This window comes from Homo sapiens, chromosome 17, assembly GCF_000001405.40.
Source record: "Homo sapiens chromosome 17, GRCh38.p14 Primary Assembly".
Taxonomy (NCBI): domain Eukaryota; kingdom Metazoa; phylum Chordata; class Mammalia; order Primates; family Hominidae; genus Homo; species Homo sapiens.
In genome coordinates, this window is record NC_000017.11 from 40,653,883 (window position 1) to 40,671,417 (window position 17,535).

Consider the following 17,535-nt stretch of genomic DNA (forward strand, 5'->3'; position numbering starts at 1 on the left):
TATTAATTTCTACTCATGTGTAAAGCAAGGATAATATTATTCATTTTGTAGGATTGTTGTAAGGAAGGATTAGGGATTATTAGGGATAAACACAGTGCCTAGAGCTGAGTAAGTGCTTTGCAAATGGTGCTGCCATTATTAAACTTTTTCCAGAACTATGGGATTATGTGATTATTTTGATTTTTAAAAAACTAGAATAAAATATTGATATACCATTCTTAACTCTTTTGTAAAACAAGTTAAAAACCATTATCTATCTACTGTGATTGCAGTTTTCTTTATTCCCCAAATGAACTAACCATACTGGAGTAATTAGTTCTTTGTTTCACTTAACCATGCAGAGATATTTTTGAACTAAAAGGACTGCGTTCAAACTCACATACAATGCAGCTTTAGCATTCATATTTCAATTTTTTCAATTTTTAATTTTTATTTATTTTTACTTTTTAGAGAGATGGGGTCTTGCTATATTGCCCAGGCTGGCCTTGAACTCCTGGGCTCAAGCAGTCCTCCCACGTTGGCCTCCCAAAGTGCTGGGATTACAGGCATGAGCCACCGTGCCTGGCCATGTTTCATTTTTTTAATTGTAGTGGAATCATTACCTTGGTAAATTCATATCCCAATTTAAAATGCCCCAAAGCAAATAAAGCTTCATTATAAATTCAAATACTGTATTTTAAAATCTACATGTTATACACCCAATAGATGCATACTGGAATTGCTACAACAAGCAGTTACATTCATGACGACCAGTACTAAGTTTTTTTTAACACTGCAATAGATTATGCTAGATATATTGCTTTATTATGATCACTGTTGCTTAGTACAGTAACTTTAGTACAATAGCTTATATGATTGCATTTTTAAAGCTTTAATAAAGTTAGTAGCATTTAGCAATATCAAATGAAACATTTTTTATGTATAGGATGTATTTTAGGTCAGATGCTTATGCAAGAATAAGCACTTAACATGCTGTTATATCCTTGACAAAACAAAATCATCCCTTTTCACTAAATAGAATAAACCAGACTAAAAGGAATCTGAAGTAATTGAAAGAAAATTAAAAATTTTATATCCCTGTATTATGTTAAAGATTATTTAACATAATATTTTCCTGGTTAAAACATACATTTTTCTGGTTGAAATATATATATACATATATATAAATTATATATATGTATATATATAATAAGTATATATGGAGAGAGAGATAGAGGAGAAGAGAGAGGAGAGAGAGAGAGAAATATTTTAAAGGCTGTACTAAAATGCTAACGTAGCTATAGCCCTTAGATGATACTTTAGCTGGGAAAAAGTATGGTGAGTTGTACTCAGCTACTTTTTCTGCTTAGAAAAGAATTAAGAACTTATAAATTTCTAATGTCTTAAAACAGGTATTTATTAAGATCTTAAATATACCTGTATTAAACAAATTAGGTTATTTTAAAAACTTTGCAACAATACCTCACTTATTCACAAATATATTTTCTACCCATATTTATTACAATTTGAACGATTTAAAAACAAATCCTCTAAATACTCTTAGCTTAGATAACAATACCGTTATCTTAGTTCACATAAATGATTGCAAGAAATATTTATAATACTTCATATAGTATCTTATCTACGGCTTATAGCAAACAATCTAATCACATTTAGCTTTACAGTTGGAAAAACTGGGATGGTGGGTAACTGTTCTGATAACTATAGTAACTACCTTTTCAATTTGCTTTTCATGTTTTGTTTGCGCAGTTGGCCTTCTGATTTTTTTTCTTTTTTTGGTGGGGGATACAACCTTTAAAGTTCCTTGAGTAAAGTAAATCTTCCGGAAATCAGATACTTATTACAAAAAAAACCTTTTAGATATATGTAGATTAACTTAATTGTACTTATCTCAAATTAGCCCTGGGGTGTGTTCTATAGTTTGCTCAGAATTTCTCATGGAAAATAACTCATTTTTCTCAGTATACAAATGATTTATCTCAAAAAGAAGAATCCTCATTAGGTGAATAGTGAGTCCCCCTTTAAAAACTTGTTTATAATTGCTCTTTTTGAAAAATAGAACAAACATTGTAGGTTTAACCAGTCATGGAATAATGGTGAATAACTCAGTGTGACTCTTAACACAATCCTATTCAAACAATTCTTTTTTCCTTAGCGTATTCAGCCATTGAAAAAAATTACAAAGACTTTACTAAACCAGGTTAATGCTTACAGTCTCTGATGAAGTTTCAAGGGAAAAAGAAGACTATTGGGAGAATATAAAGAAAGAGACTGTACTGGATTTGTGATTTTATTTTTAAGCTACTCCCTCTCATTCATATATATATATATATGTCTATCTCCATAATTAGATTCAGAGAAATGTCCTTTATTGTTTTTTTCTTCTGAAGAGAACCACATATTGATCATAACATTTTCCATACATACGTAATAACTTACATTTTGGGACAGAGGGAGTTGGTATGGCCCACCTTGGTCCATCCTAACATTTTCCAATCAAGTCAAATACTATCTTTGGATTAATTAGCTGTTGATGGAGGTTTGATAGAGGGAATACTGCATGATCTTCTCATGATAAGCCTGACTTCTATATCTGGTAGATTATCCTGCTTAGTCTCTAAACACCCTTCATCAGTGGCTGCTAAATGAAGATCAAATCGAAGAGAAACAGACTTTTTCCTCAATCGAGGGTTATCTTTAAAGAAAGAACCTTCCCATTCTTTAATAACTTCATCCACTTTCTCTGTCCTGAAATGATAAAATAAACCTTTTAATAATGAAGAAGTATGGGTCTATTAAAAATATGTATTATATATTTCATATCTATGGAAAAATCAAGAAATTTGTATAATTTATAGTGTATAGAATTTATAATGTACATACTTTAAAAATCATATGAATAGAATTTCAAAGGAATTGTATGGAATTTCTCTTTAGGAATTCTCATGTTTGGGTTGTATTTTTGGAAAAAAACGGCAAAGTAAGGATTCAGTACTCTTCCATGAGTTTTTATGTATATATGTCAGATTAAAAATCACAGTATAGGCTGGGTGTGGTGGCTCATGCCTGTAATCCCAGCAATTTGGGAGGCTGAGGTGGGCAGATCATGAGGTCAGGAGAATGAGACAAGCCTGGCCAACATGGTAAAACCCCATCTCTACTAAAAATACAAAGAAAAACCCAGCTGAGTGTGGTGGCGCGCACCTGTAGTCCCAGCTACGTGGGAGGCTGAGGCAGAAGAATTGCTTGAACCCGGGAGGTGGAGGTTGCAGTGAGCCAAGATCGCGCCACTGCACTCCACCCTGGCGACAGAGCAAGACTCAATCTCAAAAAAAAAAAAAAAAATCACAGTATACTAAAACTATGTTTGGAAACATTTAAACAAAGAAGAGTAATTACTGGGATTACGCAAAGTTAATTTCTTTACATATATTTATTATTATTTCTTAGTCAAAGTTTCTTTACTTACTGAATAGTGCCATGAGCTTCAGTGCTCTCCTTAACGATACTCCCATTTAAGATTGCCTGTTTGGTTACTGTTTCTACATTTTCATTCTCATACTTTTGTGGGACTTTTGTAGTAAAAGATATTTCATTTATAATGGCTGTGAAAATATCATTTATGATATATTAAATTACAGTATTGAATTACTGTTCACAAATTATATTCAAACTTTTATTCAAATATTGCTTGTTTTTTTTCGACTTTAAAGTATTTAATTTCCTTATAAAGTAATCCCTGTAAATAGTACATCACTTTTCAAATGAGTTTATTTATGTCAGAAACTCACCTGATGGTAAAACAAAACCAACTCTACTTGTGGTAGGCTTTTTGTCTTTTTTCCCACCTTGGATACAACCATAATATCTGAAATCAGAAAGAATTTTATTTTAAGAGCAACACTGTATCAGCAAATAATTAAAACAAACAGGAGAATGGATAAATCGTATATTCACGCAATAGAAACACTATTTAACTGAAAAGAAATGAACTAAGGCTTCACCGTATCTTTATGGATTGATCCCCTAAGAATAATATTGAGTGAAAAAAGAAGTTTTATAGTTTTATAAAGTTTAGAATAATATGCAAAACAATTTCATACTTTGTAGGAATACATACATATTACCATAAATAAATGTATGGGACTAATAAGCATCAAATTCAGAAGCCAGGTCAGGTAGAGGGAGGAGCATGAGATTAGGGTATGTGGCTTAGGTGTCCAGGGAACTTCAACAACATTGGAAACATTTTACTCTTTTTTTTTTTTTTGGAACTATTTTTCTTCTTAAACTGGGGGAAGTGGGTACAGAGGTGGTCATTATATTTTTTTGAAATTTTCTTGTATATCTCAAGTGTAGCCTAATTTTTTTAAAGTTTTACTATGCAAATATTAAAGACTTTGATCAATATCTTGAATGATTAGGAATTAAATAAAATTCACAACCATTCATTTTATTTAACAATTATATAGTTACATGTATATAGGAACTGGAATGATTAGGAATTAAAATTTATAACCATTTAACTATATAGTTACATATATACATATACATATGTATATACATGATATGTATACACACACATTTACATAGAACTTACAATGTGCCAGGTATTGTTTTAAGCACTTTACAAACATTAACTCATTTAATCCTCACAGCAATCCTATGAGGTAGGTAGTAGTATTATTCCCATTTTACAGATGAGAAAACTGAGGCACACAGAGGTTAAGTAACTTGCCCAAGGTCACTCAGCTAGTAAGTGGTATATTTTTGATTCAGTTTATGTTTTTTCAAAGATTTAATAAATGTCAAGATTTATTATAGGCTAAAGTTGTTTCACCTAGTTTTCATCTAGTTTTATAGAGGACTTAGAATTTGGAAGCAAGCAAGAATAAAGATTTTTTCATGGAGAATTGGAGGTTATGTCATGCTCAAAGCAATATGACCTTATAAGTCATTACAGATTATGATGTATGAATTAACAAGAATTCCTCTTTTGATATCTTTTCCTATCAGGATATCTGGTAGTCTTTTAAATCATGACTCAAAATAATATTGCTTTCCGTGGTTGTAATATAATTACGTTAGAGTAATGATTACTGTTTTGAGGTTTGATGTGTGGTATAGGGTGAGCCCTTGATCAGGGGGATTGTGGTGATTGTGAATTTTCCAGGCTTTTGTTATGGGTGATCCTTAGAAGGCACAGACTAATCCTAGAAGAGATGAATGGCAAGGAAAGTGAGAAAGTTAGGAAAGGTCTCTCTCTCTCTCTCTCTTTTTTTTTTTTTTTTGAGGTGGAGTCTCACTCTGTCGCCTGGGCTGGAGTGCAGTGGCGCAGTCTCGGCTCACTGCAACCTGCCTCTCCTGGATTCAGGCGAGTCTCCTGTCTCAGCCTCCCGAGTAGCTGGGATTACAGGCATGCACCACCATGCCCGGCTAATTTTTGTATTATTATTATTGTTTTTTTCTTTTAGTAGAGACAGGGTTTCGCCATGTTGGCCAGGCGGATCTTGAACTCCTGACCTCAGGTGATCCGCCCACCTCAGCCTCCCGAAGTGCTGAGATTACAGGCGTGAGCCGCTGCACCCAGCTCAGGAAAGGTCTTTTTCATGATTAGCTCATTGTAATCCCAAACTCCTTAAGCAATCCTCCTACCTTAGCCTCCCAAGTAGCTGGGACTACAGGTGTGTGCCACCATGCTCAGCGAATTTTAAAATTTTTTGTACAGATGAGGTCTCACTATATTGCCCAAGCTGGTATTGAGCTCCTGAGCTGTAGTAATCCTCCTGCCTCAGCCTCCCAAAGTGCTGGGATTACAGCAGTGAGCCACTGCAGCTGGCCAAGACTACAAGATCATTTTTGTAGTAATCTAGAATTGTTTACATTTTGTTCTAGGTGACTTTGGCTGTTTGGTTCCTAATTTTGGAAGACTAGAAATGGTTCTTTCATATATTCTTTGCAGTGCATACCTTATTGTATGGGCTCAGTGAGTACACCATGATGATGATGGGGTTTTTGGATTTAATTTCTCTGACTACATCAACAATGGCATAAGTGGCTCTGTATTTCTGGCCCCTTGTCATTAACTAAATGGATTTAGGTACCTGATTTCTTCTTTTTCTAGGAGGTGGCGATAAGTTGCTATTTCTTGTTCCAGCCTCATCTTCGTGTTGAGAAGCATCTCGTGCTCTTGAAGCTGCTTTTCGATGCCGCGCCTTACTTCCTGTAGCTCTTTTTCTAGTCCTTCAATCACAGTCTCTAGGTCTTGCAGCTGCATCTGGTAATGCTGCTCGCTGGCATGTAGGGAGTTTTCAAGGCCCCTTTCCTGTTTTATATAGATTTTCATCAGTGAATCAGTAACACAGAATGTGTTTCTGAAATCTGATTTGCAATATCTTCATCTTTTTTTTTTTTTTGAGATGGAGTCTCACCCTGTTGCCCAGAGTGTAGTGCAATGCCATGATCTCGGTTCACTGGAAACTCCACCTCCTGGGCTCAATGATTCTCCTCCCTCAGCCTCCCAAGTAGCTGGGATTACAGTCGCGTGCCACCACGCCCGGCTAATTTTTTGTATCTTTAGTAGAGGCGGGGTTTCATCATGTTGGCCAGGCTGGTCTCAAACTCCTGACCCTGTGATCCGCCCGCCTTGGCCTCCCAAAGTGCTGGGATGACAGGCTTGAGCCACCGCGCCTGGCTGTCTTCATTCTATGTTCTATTTTTTTCTTTAAAAAGATTGCAATAATTTTATTATACCTATGCAAGAGGTGTGTTTCCTTACAGCTTTGTGTGACCCCTAATTATTAAAAAATTATATTTTATTTACATAACTAGAGATCTTACTCTATTTCAAAGACATCCTGTGATAATTCTTACTGAAAAAAAAATCCTCTGCAGTGTGATTAACTTATTATCACTCTGAATTATCTGATTTTTAAATTATTGAAAGTATACTTCAGAGGTAGGCTTTGTAAAAAAAAAAAAAAAAAAGAAAATATAGTACATTGAGTATCAAGGCCAGAGCAGACTGCTCATAAAAGGCATTTAGGAACATGCTTAAATACTTTTTGTTTGTTTGTTTGTTTGAGACAGTCTCGCTCTGTCGCTCATGCTGGAGTGCAGTGGCATGATCTCAGCTTACTGCAGCCTCTGCCTCCTGGGTTCAAGTGATTCTCGTGCCTCAGCCTCCAGAGTAGCTGGGATTACAGGCGTGTGCCACCATACCTGGCTAATTTTTTGTATTTTTAGGAGAGATGTTTTCGCCATGTTGCTCAGGCTGGCTTCAAACTCCTGGCCTCAAGCCTTGGCCTTCCAAAGTGCTAGGATTACAGGCGTGAGCAACTGTGCCTTGCTCCAAACATGCTTAAATATTTTTCTTTCTTTTTTTTTTTCCTTTTCTTTTCTGGAGACAGAGTCTCGCTCTGTCACCCAGGCTGGAGTGCAGTGGCATGATCTTGGCTTACTGCAACCTCTGCCTCCCAGGTTCAAGTAATTTTTGTGCCTCAGCCTCCTAAGTTGCTGGGACAACAGGCGCGTGCCACCATGCCTGGCTAATATTTTGTATTTAATAGAGATGGGGTTTCATCATGTTGCTCAGGCTGGTCTCAAACTCCTGAGCTCAGGCAATCAGCCCACCTCAGCCTCCCAAAGTGCTGGGATTACAGGGGTAAGCCACAGTGTCAGCCTAAATATTTTTTATTCGACGTCTCAATGGCATGGATAAAAGAATCTCCACTGTTAAGACTTTGGATAATAACGAATGCTCTATTCCCTATCTTCAGCAACTAGAAAATCCCAAGGTAATAAGAAAGGATTTCTTCATTTTTACAGGTCTGAACTAAACCTTGAGTGAGTTGGTAACAGCCACTGCCACAATGGAGGGAGGGGTGAGTAATTAAACTAGGATCAGGGATAGAATTCAGTGGCCTTGATTTCCAGTTTCTCATGGTAAATAAACAGACATTCATCTTTTCCTTCTCTTAATCAAATCACATCTGAGGACTCGATGGGTCGGTTACTTTTGGGATCATTCTCACCACAGCATGGAGAGATTCAATTTCCACTTGCAGGTGGTGCCACTGGCGTCGGGCCTCCTTGAGTTCTGCTTGAGCTGCCTTCAAAGCCTCTTCATCTTTGTCCATTTTTTTGCTTATGTCTTCTTCTAGCTAACAAGAAAGCCAACAGCAACAATAACAAACAAAAAACAAGGAGTGCTTCTGAAAATGAGATGTGTAAAAGCAATTATAGAAAAATTGTATAGGAATCAAAGCATTTTTCCTTAACTCATTAGATTATAATGTGTGTCCTAGTGCCTAGTTAACTAATTAAATATGTAAGTCCATTGCGTTCTTAGCCCGTTTTCTCCTATGTTAAATGATTTCAAGAAATCCCTTCCAACTATGACAATCTGTGAAATATGGAAAAATACATTTACATGAATGAAAACAGTTTGCAGGACCAAGATTCGTGATCTCTGATTTTTAACTTTTCATTATTTATGGATCACTAGGAGGAAGGATTGAAAATTAGCTATTTCCCCCCACATTTTCTTGTAGGCTGCTTTGCAGAAGCAGATAAACAGCCGTACCCCCAAAACTGATCAATTCTGGGACCAGGTATAGGGATAGGGCGTAAATACTGCTAGGAAATACATTACTAGTAATTTAGAGAATTAAGTTGTTATAGGCAATAAGGCTCACAAATAGACTTCCATATTAAGAAAATCTGTTGATTGACCTTTTTCAAGATGATCTTTTTAAAAGGCATATTAATTTTGGGTATCTGGGTAATAAAATGAATAAATAATAAAAATGACTTCTCTAAGGATTGTTTTCTAAATATTCTCCTATTAAAAAAGTAGAATATTTTATATTTAGCTTTAAATGTTTTTATGTTGATGTTGAAATGAAAAGAAAGTATCTGTTGACAGAATTTTTAACATTTGGCCCCAGGAACAGTGAGAACAATGTATAGAATTGATTGTAGCATTTTGAAGCAAAATTTATAACTTTTAATTTTCTTATAAAAATATATTTTAACATTTAAAAATTTAATTTTATCATACATTAGATTTTTTTAAAAAAACGTTGAAGTAAATGAAAGTTTATGAATAAAGTTTAGGGCAAGGTATTGGAGAACAAAATTCGTACATTTCTTTTGGTTTGTTGAAAATCTGTTCTTAGTGTTAACTTGGCAAAGTCAGGCAGCAAGCAACACCTACCAGAGCAACTACAGAAGGTAAAGTAAGGAATTTTGGAGAGAAGAAAACAGAAAAATGCTGGTATCTGCTGGTCTTGTGGCTTTCAAATATGGAACTGGCAGCTAAGCTTGTTCGGTAACTACAGTCCCAAGATGGCCCCTAAAGAAGTCTATCTCCCAAGATGAGTCCTAGGGTGATCCCCTTCTACATTGACTCTGGGCTGACCTGGGTCTTGCTTTAACCAGTAGAATGAGGCAGAAGGAATGCTGTGCCACTTCTAGACCTAAGTCTTAGGAAGCCTGATAGCTTCCACTTCTATGCTTTTGGGAGCCTTGGGCCAATATGCAAGAAGTCTGGATACCCTGCTGGAGAGATCCTGTAGAAAGGCCAGATGGAGAGAGACCCTGAGGCTACGTGAAGTGAGAGAGAAAGTCCCAGCAGAGCCAGCCTTTCGGCAATGCCCTGCCAAAGTGCCAGACACATAAGTGAGCCCAGTCATGCCCCAAGACGATTGAGGTCCCAGATGAGTTTTGGGGTGTTATACAACAATCTGTAACTAAAATAGCTTATTTAGAAATTTAAAAAAATAACTAATCAGGCTGTCTTGAATTTATTTCAGCTGACTTTCTGAGTTATTTGGAAGAAAATCCTCTAAAGTAGTTTCAAATTAAAAGACACTTTAAACAAAACTCACCGTAGTCTTGCTTTTTCATTTGAATTTACTCATTTTGGCCCTGTGACTTGTAAACTAAACTCATATTTCTACTACTGCAAAGTTAAGTGTTTTGTTTATGATTTTTAGAAGTTGTCATCTATTGATTTTTTTCTTCTGTTTGTAAAGGTGAATGAACTATCCCAATGCTTACCTGTACCAGTGACTTTGCTTAATCTAAGATGTTGATCATTCTTTATGAAGGCTGAAAATGTTATCTAGAGGTGAAATTTACAATGGAACTAAAAATGAGTGGCTAATGGAATAAAGGCCTGACATTTTTCTACCAATTTTTTTTTTTAAAATTTTGGGTGATATTCTTAAGTAAACTTTTTGCTGTATTTCAGGGTTTGGAAGATAACTTGAACCCATATATGATAGGTAAACTAAAAAATCCCCTAAATTTCTTAATCTTTGTTTCTAAAATATTTGTTTGTAAATTTGTTTAAAGACTTGAGACCTTAATTACTTGCTGAAGGTGATTGTTACTTTAAAACTAAGTCTATGAAATTAGGATTTAGTCCTTATCTAAGTAGGCTCTCTTTCTCTTTTTTAAATACTTAAATATTACAAGCTTTGTAATGGAAAGAAATGTTTCTCATCTTATAGTACAGAAGCAAAAATCTTAGTGGAGAATCGTTACCAATTTGGGGAATTTCAATGGTCATAATTTATATCATTGTTTCTGAATGCCATGTTCACACACTCAGATGATTTCTATTTATAACAATCTGGTATAAAATGGAACTCGTTAAAAAGATGATAGAAACCTTTTAGAAATATCTCTAGAAAGTGTACATGCTAATAAATCTTACTTAAAGATTTTTCATTTTAAAGATGTTATTTAAATTATCTCTGTAAATAACTCCAATAATATCTTTGAAGGGTATTTGGAATGGTTCCTTCCTGAAGATTGTAAGAGGTTAGAGTGCACCATTTTATGGTATGTTGACCCCATGTTAATGATAGGAACCTCACAATTTATATAAAAATCAAATGCATCAATCAACACTTACTTAATGGCAATTTAACAATATAATCACAGTATTTCCCCCTGTAGTCCCAGTCACACTGCAGTAGAAGCTAAATTCCTTCCCCAATAGATGCTGCATCGAAAAGGAAATACTGTACCTCAGAGAGGCCGGGACAGGAATTGGGTAGACATGGACTGTCTCCTTATTCTGGAAGGTGCCTGTCTGTATGAAATCATTACCTGGATCCTTGTTGAGAGCACCGTCTCTATCTGATTTCTGGTGAGGATCTTTTCATAGTTTGCCCTGATCTCATTGAGTAGCTGGGACAGTTCCATTCTTTTCCCATCCTCCACCTTGGCTAACTGAACCTTATCGATAGGATGAGTCGCTGCGGCAGTCTGCTCGGTCTGCGCGGAAGGCAGGGAGCCTCGCAGAGTTTTAAAGATGCAGAGCTCCTTTTTCGGAGGCCACGGAAATTCTCATCTTTCTAACTAATTATGCAAATACAGGGTAAACTCTTTGCTCCTATTGTTATTGGTATAGTAGAAATGTCAGATTCTTCATGAAGGAAAGGAAAATTTCAAAAACCTGTACTGGTTCCCTGTAAAAATTGAGCACTTTGAGGGGAGGGGGAGTTCATTTTTGTGAAAAGGAAATGGGGCATAACATAAGAAAATTGCCGGGCATGGTGGCTCATGCCTGTAATCCCAGCACTTTAGGAGGTTGAGGTGGGTGGATCACCTGAGGTCGGGAGTTCGAGATCAGCCTGGCCAACATGATGAAACCCTGTCTTTACTAAAAATACAAAAATTAGCTGGGCGTGGTGGTGGGTGCCTGTAATCCCAGCTACTCGGGAGGCTGAGGCAGGAGAATTGCTTGAACCCAGGAGGTGGAGGTTGCAGTGAGCCGAGATTGAGCCACTGCACTCCAGCCTGGGTGACAGAGTGAGACTCCATCTCCAAAAAAAAAAAAAAAAAAAAAAAAGAAAATTATATTTAGTTTTCTCAAAATGTTGCAGATAAGTGCTGGTAGACTATGAGAGTTGTGAGTTAACATTTCCAAAGTTTTAACAAGGATGAAGAAATAGACCTTTTGGTGTATTCACCAAAAGAACCCTTGAGTCCTTTGGAGGGTGTAGTCAGTGTACCATTCCATCCAATCGTTGCAATCACTTGAGCCCTTCGGAGGGTGTATTTGGCGTATCATTCCATCCAATCCTTGCAATCCCTGACATTTTCTAACCTGTAAAGATGAAAAGACTGAGGCCAGAGAGGTTGAGGCATCTTGCCCAAGGTTGCTCAGTGATGTATGACATCACTGGGACTGGCTCTTTGACAACTTGCTTGTGTTCCATGTATTACCCCTGCATATCTGCCTCTGCGTTCTCTCTCTCCCCTTCTAAATTCCTGGTTTAATCTTGCCAGCTGGTTGCTAGATGTGACAGAAATATGTCGTGAGAGTGGATCTATCATTATTGTTATTTGTGGAGTGGCTTTGGCTGAATTGTATCTGGAGCACAGTTCAGGAGATAATCAGACCTGGGTTCTAGCCCTTACAGGGCCTTTGCATGCATGTCCTGCTCTTTTAATTTCTGAATTAACTCACATCTGGCCAGGCCAGTCTATGCTGGGCATTCTCACAGCCCTCTCCAAACAAAGCTGTCCTACCCACAGCTCCTGGTGAGAGGAGAGGTTCCAGGTTATTTCTGACCCACCCCTCCCTACCTCCTGCACCTTCCCCATCAGTCACAACTTGATTATCTATAGATTGGTCAGAGACCTTTGGAGTAGGCTGAGACAGAAAGCTCTGACTAAAGAGAGTCATTAATGATTATCTAGGCCAAACTGATTCTCTTTCTTGGTAACTGGGACTGAGAAATATGAAGAGAATTAGGCTTGGGAGTGGAGGAGAGAGAAGAAAGCAATGAATTAAATTCCTAAATTAAATTCAGGGAGCAATGAATTAAATGCTTCCTGCTACTTTAGGTAGCTCCTGCTAATATCCGCCTGAAACACAGAGAGCTGAACTAGATTCCCTGGAGGGTCAGTCCTGGCAATCTGCATTTTAAATAGGTCTGCCAGCATTTCTTATGCACCCTAAATAAAGCAGCACTGTCCAGTGGAAATATAACACAAACCACAAATGCAAACCACAGATGTCCTTCCAAACTTTCTAGTAGCCATATCAAAAGATTGAAACAAAAAGAAGTGAAATTAATTTTACGACTATATTTTATTTAACTTGATATATCCAAAATGCAGCAACCCATATAAAATGTTAATGAGATCTTTTACATTATTCTTGATACTGTCTTTGAAATCCAAGTGTATTTTATACTTACATCGCATCTCAGCTTGGAACAGCCACATTTAAAGTGCTCAATAGCTGGGCACAGTGGCTCACCCCTGTAATCCCAGCACTTTGGGAGGCTGAGGCGGGAGGATGGCTTGAGCTCAGGAGTTCAAGACAAGCCTGGGCAACATAGAGAGACCCAGACTCTACAAAAAAAAAAAATTAAAAAATTAGCCAGGAGTAGTGGTGCAAGCCTGTAGTCCCACCTACTTGGGAGGCTGAGGTGGGAGGATCACTTGAGCCTGGGAAGATTGAGGCTGCAGTAAGCCAGATCACACCACTGCACTCCAGCCTGGGCAACAGAATGGGACCCTGTGTCAATAATTTGAGACATAATAATAAATATTTATTTATTGAGACAGACAGAGGGGATAGGATTTAGAAAGGTATTTTACAGGCATGTGAGTAATGCAGTAAACTATTTCTAGATCTCAAATTTTATTTTTCAAGGAAAAAATATTATTACTTTCCTTTACAAAAATACTACCCTTTATTTAAATAAAACAGTAACAATACCTCATTAAAGGCTATGGCATATATAAAATTGTGGGGTCCCTACAATTCTTGGTGCATGGACTGAGATTATGATGGAGATTGTCATAAATCCATTATAGTTATTAGAAAAGTAAATAATTTAAAAATGTTGACTTTATTAAAAGGAGAAAGCTTGTTATAACACATCTCACAAATGCCAAAATACTGTGTTTGGGGACCCTGGCTCCAGGGACATTCGTGTGTCTGTGTGTCTGCACACTGAAATCACTTCTGGAACTTTAAAAAATGGTGATGACTGTGTCCTCCTCCCAGAAAATCTGATTTAATTGGCTCAGGACGGGGCCTGGGCATCAGAATTTTTGAAAACTTCCCAGGAGTCTAATATGTAGCAAAGTTTGAGAGCCATTCTGATAAATGTAAGTTTTCTTCCACTCATTTATCCCTCTCTCTTCAGCCAGAGGAAACGAGTTGTTGGTACAATCATCTGAAGTTAAGATTCCTGCAGTTAAATATTGGCAAGTAGTTCATGCTGCAGCTATCACAACTCTGGGTGCATAGGCTCAGGCAGACCTTATTGCTTTATTTTTCTTTTTTCATGTTAATCTTTATTTTGAGTTCCTATTCTATGGAGGATGTGTGTTAAATCTCATCATCTCAGTCTCTCGCCTTTTCTCCAAAGCATTGCATCTAAGTTTTAGGGGAGCTTATATAGTTGTGACCTGGGGCGGGGAGCATATTGTCCTTAGTGTCATCTGTCCAAGCTGTGTTCACTGAGACAGTCATTATTCTTCCCATCTGTCCCATTATCGTTGGTTGGAGACATATAACTAAAAACAAAAATCTTCCCTCAACCCAGAAATCCTCTCCACAAAGGTAGTACGGAAAGAAAATACTTCTATTACTGAATAAGCACTAAACTAGAATGTGATGTGCATCACAGGTAATCTTCTAGGAAATTGCAAGATGGAAGGAAATCTCACCTGTTACATAGCCAAGCAGCAGATACAACCTATTACATACTTTTTGTTTTTTTTTTTGAGATGGAGTCTAGCTCTGTCGCCCAGGCTGGAGTGCAATGGCGCGATCTCAGCTCACTGCAACCTCTGGCTCCCAGGCTCAACCAAGTCTCCTGCCTCAGCCTCCCGAGTAGCTGGGATTACAGGCGCACACCACAATGCTCAGCTAATTTTTGTATTTTAGTAGAGACAGAGTTTCACCATGTTGGCCAGGCTGTCCTGACCTCAGGCAATCCACCCACCTTGGCCTCCCAACGTACTGGCATTACAGGCATGAACCACCGTGCCCGACCTACATACATATTTTCAAGATAAACAATAGTTAAGTTAGAGTAAGAGGACTTGACAGTACCATAGTTACACATCGTTCATCTTAACTTCACCTGGTAATTTGGGGTGATCATCTGTGTCAGCTACTTGGCTTTCTCCAGAGGAAAAACAAAACTTTTTATATCTTTATGACAGGTGGTAGTTTTGCAACTTTGAGTAAGGTACCCACAGAAGTTAGGCTCCTACCCTCCCACAGAAACTGGGATATAGGGGTGTCATCTCTTTTGATGTTTACATTTCAAAGAGATGGCTCCCAGGTACTTGAGAAATACATCCCTGGATCATAAAGCTAATGAAAGGCCTATCTAGGCTTCAAAAGGATTTACATAAATTTCAAAGAGAGGAAACAGTACATATAAGTTTTCAAAAGTTATAATTACAAATAAATGCTCCCTGATTTTAAATTATATTTGGAAGCTATAGCAATCAAAACAGCATGGTACTGGCATAAAAACAGAAACATAGACCAGTTAAACAGAGTATAGAGCCCAGAAATAAATCTAAACCTAATTTAATTAACTACATTTTGGCAAGGGCCTCAAGAGGACCCAATGGGGAAAAAATAGTCTCTTCAATAAATGGTACTGGGAAAACTGGATTTCCACATGCAAAAAAATGAAATTGGACCCTTATCTTACACCATATTAGAAAATCCACTCAAAATGGATAAAAGATCTAAATGTAAGACCTGAAGCCATTAAACTCCTAGAGGATAAGAGAGGGTAAAAGCTCCTTGACATTGGCCTTGGTAATGATGTTTTGGATATTACACCAAAAGCCCAGGCTACAAAAGCAAAAATAAATAAGTGGGACTACATCAAAATAAAAAGCTTCTGTACAGCAGAGGAAGCAATTAACACAATGAAAAGGCAATGTACAGGCTGGGAATAGATATTTGCAAACTGCATATCTAGTAAGGGGTTAATATCCAAAATTTATAAAGAACTCTTACAACTGAATAGCAGAAAAACAAATAAACCAGTTAAAAAATGAGCAAAGGATCTAAACAGATATTTCTCCAAAGAAGACATAAAAATGGGCAACAGATCCATGAAGAGGTGTTTAACATCACTAACCATCAGGGAAATGCAAATCAAAATTGCTATGAGATATCACCTTACACCTGTTAGGATTGGTGTTATCAAAAAGATGAGAGTGACAAATGTTGGCAAAGGTGTGGAGCAAAGAAACAGTACACTGTTGGTGGGAATGGAGATTGGTGCAGCCATTAGCAAAAAGTGCATGGAGGTTTCTAAAGAAGTCAAAAACAGAACTTCCAGGCCAGGTGCGCTGGCTCATGCCTGTAATCCCAGCACTTTGGGAGGCCGAGGCAGGTGGATCATTTGAGATCAGGAGTTCGAGACCAGCCGGGCCAAAGTGGTGAAACCCCGTCTCTACTAAAAATACAAAAATTAGCCGGGCGTGGTGGTGGGCACCTGTAGTCCCAGCTACTTGGGAGGCTGAGGCAGGAGAATCACTTGAACTCTGGAGGCCAGGGTTGCAGTGAGCCAAGATCACGCCACTGCACTCCAGCCTGGGCAACAGAGTGAGACTCCATCTCAAAAAAAAAAAAAAAAAAAAAAGAAAAGAAAAAGAACTTCCCTATGACCCAGCAATTCCCCTTCTGGGTATCCACCCAAAGGAGATGCAAACACCACCTTGTAAAGATATCTGCACTTTTATGTTCATTGTAGCATTATTCGCAATAGCCAAGATATGGAAACTACCTAAGTGTCAATGAATGAATGGATAAATAAACTGGTGAGTGTGTGTGTGTGTGTGTGTGTGTGTGTGTATATATATATATATATGCACAATAGACTATTATTCTACCCTAAAAAAGGAGATCTTGACATTTGTCACAACATAAATGGACCTGGAGGACACTATGTTAAGTGAAGTAAGAAAGACACAGAAAGATAAATATTACATGCACTCATTTATATGTGGAATCTAAGAAAAAAAAGTCAAATATGCAGAGAATAAAACAGTGGTTACCAGGAGTGGGGGTGGGATGGGTTAGGAAATGGGGAGATGGAAGTCAATGTATACAAAGGAGGAGATATGTAGGATGAACAAGTCTAGAGATCTAACCTATTAACCAGGACTAGAGCTAATAAAATTGTATGCTAACTGGGTTTTTTTTTTTTTAATGTAAGTAGACTTTAGCTGCTCTCATCACACACAATAAGGTAACTGTGAGATGATAGATATGTTAATTTGCTTCACCAGGGTAACCATTTTACTATGTATATGTATCCCATAACATTGTGTTGTAAACCTTAAATATACACAATACAATTTATTTTTTATAAAAGATGAAGTAAATGCTCAAAGAAAATTTAGGAAGAGAGAAAAATCTCTTCCCTTGTTTCCAACAGTGAGAATCAAGCCTCTTATTTTAAATTTGCTTCATCCTAGCAGTGTCCAGCTGCTCTCTCCCATATTTCTTTCCATGCT

The 17,535-nt window shown here is 37.3% G+C and overlaps 1 protein-coding gene across 1 annotated transcript; it reads right to left on the bottom strand.

Moving 5' to 3' along the window:
• Positions 1-782: 782 nt before the first annotated feature.
• KRT222 (keratin 222) lies at positions 783-11,295 on the bottom strand. Its single transcript, NM_152349.3, has 6 exons — positions 11,122-11,295; positions 8,034-8,162; positions 6,105-6,325; positions 3,792-3,868; positions 3,470-3,605; positions 783-2,748 (listed from the first exon to the last, which is right to left on the bottom strand). The coding sequence occupies exons 1-6, from the start codon at positions 11,215-11,217 to the stop codon at positions 2,520-2,522; spliced, it is 888 nt and encodes a 295-aa protein (NP_689562.1). The 5' UTR covers positions 11,218-11,295; the 3' UTR covers positions 783-2,519.
• Positions 11,296-17,535: the final 6,240 nt, after the last annotated feature.